Source organism: Homo sapiens, chromosome 2 (genome assembly GCF_000001405.40).
Source record: "Homo sapiens chromosome 2, GRCh38.p14 Primary Assembly".
Lineage (NCBI taxonomy): Eukaryota > Metazoa > Chordata > Mammalia > Primates > Hominidae > Homo > Homo sapiens.
The window spans coordinates 44,862,316-44,873,211 of NC_000002.12; the positions used below are offsets into that span (position 1 = coordinate 44,862,316).

The following is a 10,896-nucleotide window of genomic DNA, read 5'->3' on the forward strand; positions in this document are numbered from 1 at the left end:
TCACCATATAGTTGGAGATAAAATAGCACACTGCTAATCAACATATGGGTCAAAGAAGAAATCCCAAGAGAAATTTTAAAATATTTGAACTAAATAGAAATGAAAATAAAACTTATCAAAGTTTGTGAGATGCAGTGAAAGCAGTGCATAGAGGGAAATTTATGGCATTGAAAACATGTATTAGAAAAGAAGAAAGATCTAAAATCAATGGTCTAAACTTCTACCGTAGGAAACTAGAAAAAGAATTAAATGCAAAGTGAGCAGAAGAAAAATAATAATTAGATTAGAAATTTATACAATTGGAAACAGGAAATCAATAGAGAAAATCAACAAAACCAAAAGCTGTTTCTTCAAAAAGATCAGTGAAACTGGTAAGACTATACCAGCATAAGAAAAAAAATTGAAGGACGCCACTGCACTCCAGCCTGGATGACAGAGTGAGATCCTGTCTCCAAAAATAAAGAAAAAAAAGACATGAATTATTCCTATCAGAAATGAAAGAGTAGACATCACTATAGATCCCATGGACATTAAAAGGATAATAAAGGAATATTATGAACAACTCTATACTCACAAATTTCATAACTTAATAAAATGGAACAATTCCTTAAAACACACAGTCTGCCAAAAATGCACACAAGAGGACATAGACAATCTGAATAGGCCTATTTCTATTAAATAAATTGAATCAGTAACTAATAACTTTGTAAAACAGAAAGCATCATGCCTACATGTGTTCAGTGGTGTATTCTACCAAAAATTTAAAGGAGAAATTATACCAGTTCTCTACAATCACTTCCAGAAGATAGAATCAGAGGGAGTACTCCCTAACTCATTCTGTGAGCCAAGACATTATAAGAAGGGAAAACTACAGATCAATATCTCTCATGAACATAAATGTAAAAATCCTGAATAAAATATTAGCAAACTGAATCCAGTGACATATAAAAAGAATTATATACCACAACCAATTGGGATTTATCCCAGGTGTGCAGGGCTGGTTCAACATTCAAAAATCAATTAATGTAATTCACCACATTAGCAGATAAAAGAAGAAAAGTCTCATGATCTCATCAATAGATACATAAAAAGCATTTGACAAAAATCCAGCACCCATAGGTGATTTTTAAAACTCTCAGAAAACTAAGAATGGAGGAGAACTTTCTCAATTTTATGGAGAACATGTACAAAAACCCTACAGTTAAAATCACACTTAATAGTGAGAAACTTGAAGCTTTCCTGCTAAGATCAGGAACAAGAAAAGGATGTTCCCTCTCACCGCTACTTTTCAACATTATACTAGAAGTTCTAGCTAATGCAACAAGACAAAAAAGAAGGAAATAGAAGGTATACAGATTGGGAACAGATGGTATGATTGATTGTCTCTGTAGAAAATCTGAAAGAATCAATTTTTAAAACTCCTACAACTAATAAGAGATGATAGCAAGGTTTCAGGGTGCAAAATTAATATATGAAAGTCAATCACTTTCCTGTATACCAGCAATAAACAAGTGGAATTTGAAATTAAAAATGCATTACGATTTATATTAGCATCCCTCAAAATGACATACTTACATATAAATCTAATAAAATATGAACAAGATCTATATGAGGAAAACTACAAAACTCTAATTAAAGATATCAAAGAACAACAGAATACATGGGAGAGATATTCCATGATCATGGATAGGAAGACTCAATATTGTTAAAATTTCAGTTTTTCCCAATTTGATCTATAGATTCAGCACAACCCCGATCAAAATCCCAGCAAGCTATTTTGTAGATATTGATGAACTGATTCTAAAGTTTATATAGAGAGGGAAAAGACCCAGAACAGCCAACACAATATTGAAGGAAAAGAACGAAGTTGGAGGACTGACACTACTTGACTTCAGGACTTACTATAAAGCTACAGTAATCAAGACAGTGTGGTGAAAAAAAATAGACTAATAGATTAATGGGGCCTAATAGCCCAGAAATAGACCCATGTGAACATAGTCTACTGATCTTTGACAAAAGAGCAAAGGAAATACAATGGAAAAAAGACTGTCTTTTTCAACCAATGATACTGGAATAACTGAACATCCACAGGCAAAATTAATAATAATAATAATAATAATAATAAGGAATCTAGACACAGACCTTACAAAATTTATCTCAAGATGAATCACAGACCTAAATGTAAAATACAAAACTATAAAACTTTTAGAAGATAATATAAGAGAAAATCTAGATGACCTTGGGTATGGTGGTGACTTTTTGGATATAACACCAAAAGCACAATCCATGAAAGAAATAATCCTGAACTTCATTAAATAAGCTGAACTTCATTAAAATTAAAACCTTCTGCTCTGTGAATGGCAATGTCAAGAGAATAAGATAAGCCACAGAATGGGAGAAAATATTTTGTAAAAAATATCTGATATAGAACTGTTATTCAAAATGTACCAAGAACTATTAAAACTCAAAAATAGGAAAATAAATAACCTAATTAAAAAATGAACAGATACCTAAACAGATACCTCGGCAAAGAAGATATACAGATGTTAAGTATATTAAAAGATATTCCGCATTATTTGTCATTAGGGAATTAAAAATTCAAACAGCAAAAAGGTACCGCTACACACCTATTAGAATGGCCAAAATTCCAAACACTGACAACACCAAATGCAGGTGAGGATGTGGAGCAATGGGAACTCTCATTCATTGCTGATGGGAATGCCAGATGGTATAGCCATTTTGGAAGACAGCTTGGCTGTCTTACATAACTAACATACTCTTAGCATATAATCCAGCAATCATACTTTTTGGTGTTTACCCAAATGAACTGAAAACTTATGTCCACACAAAAACCTGCATGTAGATGTTTATAGCAGCTTTATTCATAATTGTCAAAATTCGGAAGCAATCAAGATGTCCTTCAGCAGGTGAACGGATAAATTGTAATATGTCCAGACTATGAAATATTACTCAGCACTAAAAAGAAATGAGCTATCAAGCCATGAAAAGACATTGAAGAAACTAAATGCATATTACTAAGTGAAATAAGCCAGCTTGAAAAGGCTACACACTGTGTGATTCCAAAAACATGACATTCCATAAAAGGCAGAACTATGGAGACTGTAAAAAAGATCAGTGGTTTCCAAGAGTTAGGAGGAGGGAGGGATGAATAGACATAGCATAGGGGATTTTTAGAGCAGTGAAATTATTCTATATGAAACTACAATGGTGGGTACGTGCCACACATTTGTCATAACCCATAGAATGCACAACAGCAACAGTGAATCCTAATGTAGTCTATGGACACTGGGTGATAATAATGTGTCAATATAGGTTTGATTGCGATATATGTACCATTCTGGTGCAGGATGTTAATCCTAAATGAGGTCGTGGGTGTGTGGGGACAAGGGAGTTATGAGAACTTCGTACATTTTGTTCAATTTTGCCATAGACCTAAAGCTGATCTAAAAAATAGTTTATTAATAAAAAATAAAATAGAACACATTTTTAATTATTTAAAGAAAATATAGAAAAATACATTTATTATTCCCAAATAAGGAGTGATTATTTTCAGATGAGATCTGGTGCGTTCAGGGTGGTATGAAGGTAGGCAGGAGTGATTATTTTCAAAGACACACACACACACACACACACACACACACACCATGAATGGAGAAATCATAAAAGAAATCATAAAAGAGAGATTGCAAAAAAAAACCCATCAAAATTGAAAGCTCTGTGGAATAAAAGACACCATAAACAAAATTAATAGCCAAGCGGTAGACTGGGAGAAGGTATTTACATCATATGTAACAATCAAAAGATTACCATTCAGAATGAAGCATTACTAACAACCAAACAGGAAAATGTGTGATTCATGTAAGAAGAAACTTGGAGAGCCTAAAAACACATTTTAAAAAGCTTGGTTTCCCTAGAATCAAGGCAGCACTAATTAAATTCACAATGAGAGATCATTTCACACACATAAGATTAGCAGAAAATAAATTCTGATTGTTGAAAAGGATATTGGGAAACAGAAGTCTTGCACAATGCTGGTGGGAATGCAAATTGGCATAACCACTTTGGAGATCAACTAGGCAATATCTAGCAAAATGCATAATATGCATATCCTATGCCCCAGCAGATCTATCTCTAGTCAAAAACCCTAGAAAAACACTCGCACATGCATTCAAGAAGATGTCACAAGCACAGGTGTTCAAGATGTTATAAGAATGTTCATTTCAGCATTGTTTGTAATAGCAAAAAACCAGAAACAATCCAAATGTCCATTAATAGAAAAAGGAATAAATAAATTGTACTATGTTTAAACTACTATGTATAATGGGGCCAAAATTCATTGACTGTATTTAAAGGTATCAACATGGATAGAAAAAAATATAGAGGAGAAAAGAATCTTGCAGAACACTACAAACCATATGCTTTCATTTAAGTAAATTTTTAAAAATATAAATCAATATGATACTGGTTATGACTTTACATGTGTGTAATAAAACATACAATTATTGTGGATATCCTGTCAGTTAGGATCTTTTAAATACAAGTAAAATAATCCCCAGCTCAAGATGGCTTCAATAATCAAGAGATTTATTATCTTGACATAACAAGAGATCCAGAAGTAGGACAGTTCCAAGGTATTTAATCCAGCAGTTTAAACATCTTACCAAGGACTTAGGATTGTCCATATTTTCATTCAGCAATTTAAAATGTGTTCTCCTCAGCCTAACCCTTCTTTTGGACACCATATGGCTACCATAATCCCAGGCACCACATGTGGAAACAACAAGATCCAATGAAAGAGAAAAGAGCACGTCTTTGCTGTACATCTCTATCATAAAGCAAAGATCTCTTAACCAGACCACCCAGTAGACTTCCCCTCCAGACATCTCCATTGGCCAGAACTCTGTCTCCCAAACCAATTACAAGGGAAATAGGATCACCAGGACTGGCTTAGATCATTGGGTTACATTGGGGAAAGGTCAGCAGAACAAAATTGGGGCTCCTCATAGAAGAAGGGGGAAATTTGGATGCATAGGCAATGATATCGGCCAAAGATTAGGAAACAAAATCTATTGTAGAGAAATAGGTGCTTATGAAATCTCTGGAGGGTTGAGGGAGCAGGCTATGGGTTGAGCCTCTAATGACTTCTAGAACATCATAGTCCAGTTGCTACTATCTCTGGCATAAAAAGAAAAGCAGGGCATCAGGCAGCCACCGGGGAGCTCTTGATTCAAGAATACACAGCCATAGCTATGATCCAGGATTTGGGAAGCTTGTATCCAGAAACACTGCCATAGTCACAACTGCCAGCTGTCACCAACTTTGCAAATATCTTTCAGTACTGCCCCCACCACCACACACACACACACACACACACACACACACACACACACACACACATTGGATACTGGACCTTGGGATCTCTACAACCTTGCTTGCCATGAGAAAAGAGCCAAAACAGCTTGGAAAATGGGTGCTGTTGCAGGATTATTTTCTAAATATCACGTTAAGTGCATGTAATTGGTAGAACTTAATTTTCATGCAGAACCCTAACTGCAAAACAGTCCTGGAGATTTAGTTTTAACTTTCCAGCCTTTGCAGTAGAGGATGGCATGTGGGAAGAGGTGAGGATGGATGCTGTGTGTCAATTGATTAGTCCTTCACGGCAAGAAATAATGTCTACTACAGTCCATCCCTTTGCCTACCCTCACATTCAGCATAAAAAATGCTCATACCTACATAAAATACATTCATCCCCCTCACAAGAAAGAGATGACTCAAAATCTCCTTCAGTTACGGCATCCAGATCCAGGTCCAGGATCTCTGAGTGGGGTAAATTCTTGTCCATCAAGTCCCAGTATGGTGGGACCAGATGGTGCTGGGCGAGAGGAGATTGGAAAACATTTGCAAAGTAGGTTGCATCTGAATAGTATCTACCTTCCAAACAGTTGTGACTATGGTCCAGTGATAGCCATGTTCAAAATACCCAAAATAGAATAAAAACTCCCAATCAGAAAAGGAGGGGGAAAGGTAGACACACATGCACACACACAGTAATCACTGATCCATGTTCCACAGCATATATCATCAAGGTCTGCTGGGCTCTACGTCCTGTAAATGTTGTAAGATCCTTTGTCAGCTAGTCTGGCAGCCCTCAGTTCTGCTCCCTTGGAGAATCTCTCTTGTTCTTCATCCTTATGGCCACATCTGAGATGGGCATTAGGGAGAGTATCTCTTCATTTGGGGCCGCACAGTTTTAAGAACACATTACTTTTGGTGCCAGATCAGGAGCTGAGAGATTGCCTTAGAGGCTGAACTGTCATGGGTTGCTGTGAGTAGTCTTGGCATTTCTTTGGCAATACAGTTCTTTTAGCAGGTTTCTCATGTTTTTGCTTCAGGGAGTTATATGGGCTAATAATCTTAAGCCAAAATCTTGTCTGGATACAATCTTTGGTCCTGATAATACCTTCTCCTAGCCATGTCCAACCCCTGTCCTTCGATCTATTGGCCTCTGTCTTAATTGTCTTAAGGCAATTCTAAACAGTCCTGAGTGCCAAGACCCAGTGTGTCAGGAGAGGACTGGGAGCTTTCTGACACTTGCTGAGTCTTCCTCTTTTCTCTGCTACAGGGATGCCTGTGGCCATCTATATCCCGGAGGACTTTACCAAAAGCAGTAAGCAGTAGCAACACACATACCACAATTCTGAATTTTTTCCTAATACTACAGCCCCTATACGTATGTGGCCTAAATCCCAAGGAACAGGGAGGGACACTTGTTATGAATCAAGGGTCCCCAACTTCCCAGCCTCCTCTTTCCTACCACCTCCACTCAGCCAATTCCATGTTTTAGAGTCTGATACTTGCAGCACCCACTTCCTAATAAAAAAAAAGGGAAATTATTTTGGCATAGGCCAATAAAACACACACACATACACACACACAAATTATAAAAACATTAACTGGATACAAACCAAATTCATTATAGTAGTTGCCTATGGGGAGGACGAAACTGGAGAAGGACATAGGAGAATCAATGTTATCTGTAAAAAATTCATCTTATTAAAAAAGATCTAATGTGGAAAAAATACAAAATATTTTACTGTTTGGGGTGACATGTACCATCACTGCAATGAATGACAGAGCATTTGTTATATTATCCTCTATGCTTTGCTGTGTATTTTATGGGCAAGTTGGACAGAGCCTATGACCCATGGGAAAAAATTCAGCAAAGTGCTTAGTCTGGCACAACAAGCAAGCAGCTGGCAGCCAAGAAGTTGTGCCCTCTGCTCTGCCTATCTAAATCCTGGTTATCTTTTCAGGCTCTGCTGAAGTCCCACTCCTCAAGGAAGCCTACCCGGACTATTCCAGCTCACAGTCACCTCTCCCTCTACTGAACTATCAGAACCCCTCGAGCCACTACTCCCCCAGTGTGTCACTAATTCTTCATTTCATGAGTTTTAGGATGGGGACTGCATGGTAAATGCATAGTCTTACTTAGCTGGGGAACACTGAGGAGAGTTACTATTTCTGATTGGGCCTGACTTTTTCCTGTTCCCCACCAGTGAGTATGTCCAGGGCCTCCCTCTTGCTCCCCAAACCACAAACCATTACTGGCAGGCAGCCTCAGACGTCACCTGGCTGAGAACGTGCAGCTGGCAGAAACAGGCCCATTTGTCACAATTCATCAGGTCCAGCTCTCAGCTCGGAGGAGCCCCGATCCCCTCAGAACGCATTTTCCTTTTGTGTGATGTATGTAAAACACTCCTAATGTGAGGATCCTCAGAGAGAGCTCACACTGCCTGGCTAAGTGTTTTTTAAAGAATCAAGCTCTTACTTTTTAAAATTACACCAGGGTGGTATTGTTCAAATATGTAAGACTGACTACTCCAGAAAGCGGCAACAACAGGATACAATGCACTAATTTTACCCCACTTTGACTTAGAAAATATAATCGGTACTTAGAAAAATTGTAAATACTAAAGAATCAAGGGAATAGGATTATTCTAAAATAGGGCGCTAATACAGCAAGCAAAATAGCTTTCCCTAGTCTTAACTGAGGGCCATTATCTATCAGAGAAGATACACCTCTGGCCTGTAATGTAAAGAAACACAAATGACTAAAGAAGCTTGCCAATATTTCTAGGAGGAGGAAGAGAGGAAAGAGTCTGTAACAAGACAGAAACTTGGAAAAGCCAAGAGATGCAACAGGGTAGGCAAACAGCCTCCAGTGTGCCTGAGAGGGGGAAAACCCAGGCCTGGTTCAATTCCCATCATTTCCATGGAGTCTTTTTCCTTCTCCTCTCTGAACTGCTGTGGCTTTCACACAATCCCAGGACTTCCTTATCCTTGGTGGTGGTGTCCAGTCATTGCATGTATCTCCCCAACTAAAATACAGCCCCTCAGGGTAGAAACTGTACCCTATATTTCTCTCCTATATCAGCTCATATCATCCTACTTTCTGACCAGCAAACCTAGCACAGATTGGCCATCCAGTAGCCTTGAGCCTCAGGGCATAACCTACTTTCTTCCTCTTCCCGCCTCCCTTTCTGTGATAAATGGAGAGGATTTTGAGACAATCCTCCCTACAGCCCTGGTAGCCAATGTGGTAGCCACATTGTGTTCCCGCAGGTACGCAGAGATTAGTAGGAGGCATTTAGCTTGGACAAAATTTCAAGATAGAAAGGTGGGATATTCTAAATAGAAAAGATTTCAGCTGCCAAGCGCTACTGAGGTAGAGTGAAGATTTTGTGTTTAGAAGATACTAGTTTAATTACAGTGGGGATCAAAACTGTTGGAGAGTTGATGGACAAGTGTGAGGAGAAGAGAGCCCAATCTTCTTGTTGGAAACTAGAGGCTCATTGGTAATGACCAAGCAATGCACAGCGTGTCCATTTTTATTAGTATCCTTACTCGTATGGGCACCACCCAATCTCCTCAGTGGCCACAAAATCCATCCCCCTGATGCTACACCTAAACTTAGTTGCAAGAACACGAGGTGGAGCAAATCATTACCCATCATACTTTTTGTGCTTCTAACTTTTTGTGTGATTCTCAGTGGAGGAATAAAAAACGAGTAGAGGAAGCTTTCATTTCATATTGCATTTGTATTATATGTGTGTGTGTCTCTCTCTGTCTCTCTCTCTCTCTCTCTCTGTGTGTGTGTGTGTGTGTGTGTGTGTGTATGAGTATATGAGAGAATTCCTCTTATTTTTGTTCTCTATACCAAATCCAGTTCATTTTTATCCATGCGCATCTGGATAGGTCTACATGTTTTCTTTTCAACAATCAAATGCAAAACATATTTATTAGCTCTTGATTCTAAAAGAACGCCAAAGCCACATGTGGTGGGCTCATGCCTGTAATCCCAGCACTTTCGGAAGCTGAGGTGGGAGGATTATTTGAGCCCAGGAGTTTAAGACCAGCCTGGGCAATACAGTGAAACCCCATCTCTACAAAATATTTTTAAAAATTAGCTGGGCATGGGGGCACCCACCTTTTGTCCCAGCTACTTGGGAGGCTGAGGCTGAGGATCCCTCGAGCCCAGGAAGTTGAGTCTGCAGTGAGCTGTGATTGTGCCACTGCACTCCAGCCTGGGTGACAGAATAAGACCCTGTCTCAAAAAAAAAAAAAAAAAAAAAAAAAAAAAAGAGAGAAAGAAAAAACCCCACAAAATCAAAATAAATATTTGCTAGATTAAATATCTATGTCATATTTCTTATTTGTCATTGTTAAATTTGCTATTCATAAAATATTATATTTGAAAATAATTCATAAAATAGATTTGCCCCTTTCCAGAATTCCTGAGTAGACACCATATTGCCAGACATAATTGACATATTAATTGTCATTTATGACTTAATTGAGTTATTCTTAGCCAGATAATTTTAAAGGCAAAAGTTTAAAAGTATAAAAAAAGATTTGTGAAAAATGTTTCATACACAAAACACACGTGTAACGTGAGTAAAACTGCATTTTAATATGCTGGATATGATGTGTGGTGGGACTCCAAATTAAAATTGTCTTTTGTCTATGATGGTTTTAGGGTGACTGATGGTGCCAGCTTGGTCTCTATGAAAAATTGCTGTCTTGGTTCCAATGAAAGACTTAATGTTTCCATTTACTTTGTGTGTGTGTGTGTGTGTGTAAAACATATGTAAGATAAAATGTGTAATTTTAGCCATTTCATTTACTTTTTAAATAAATACAAAATAGTATTTATGTTGCCTGTATCATTCTTTTGGGCATGTGATCATTCCTGTTCTAGGTTGTTCTGTAACAGGTGTTTCTAGTCTTTCCTCTAAGATGGTAAGCTTTTCAAGATAGAGTAAGTGGCTTCTTTCTTTCATGAGTTATAGGGTTAAGAACAGAACTGAGTACTTAAATGGAATTCAAAAAATAGCAACTGAGTGAATGAATATGTGAATAAATGACAGAAATTTGATGACACACTTGATTCAAGGCTGTGCGGTGCCCCACTGGTTTTCAAACTCTGTTTCGTAAGGGAAAAGCCAATGTATCTAACTGATTACAATGGAGAAGCTCTGAACCAGGATGATCCAGGATGGAGAAACTGATACCACCTCTGCCTCTAAGTTTCTGGAAGCCTCCCTAAATCATTCCAGACTGGAGCATGTGTTCTAGGATCCAAACCCCCCTAAGAAATTCACAGGACTCTCCCTGGCTACCGGGAACGTCTGCTTGTCTAACTTCCATCTATGTCCCTATAGTAAAGAGATGACCACAAATCATAAGACACTCCCTTTCCTAGGACAAGTAATTCCCATTCATTTACCTTTCCCCTTGATGTTCATCTTAAAACCATTAATAGACATTGTCCCTCTCCTAACTCCTTCCCTGGTTCTCACCATCTGTTTACAT

General features: G+C 38.0%; 1 annotated feature.

The window, feature by feature from the left end:
• Window positions 406–507: a silencer, noted in NCBI's record as "fragment chr2:45089860-45089961 (GRCh37/hg19 assembly coordinates)". NCBI's record gives its function as "represses an EF-1alpha promoter that drives an FKBP-Casp9 reporter gene in an ReSE screen in phorbol 12-myristate 13-acetate-treated (for megakaryocytic differentiation) K562 erythroleukemia cells {active_cell/tissue: K562(+PMA)}" and the evidence as "EXISTENCE:reporter gene assay evidence [ECO:0000049][PMID:32094911]".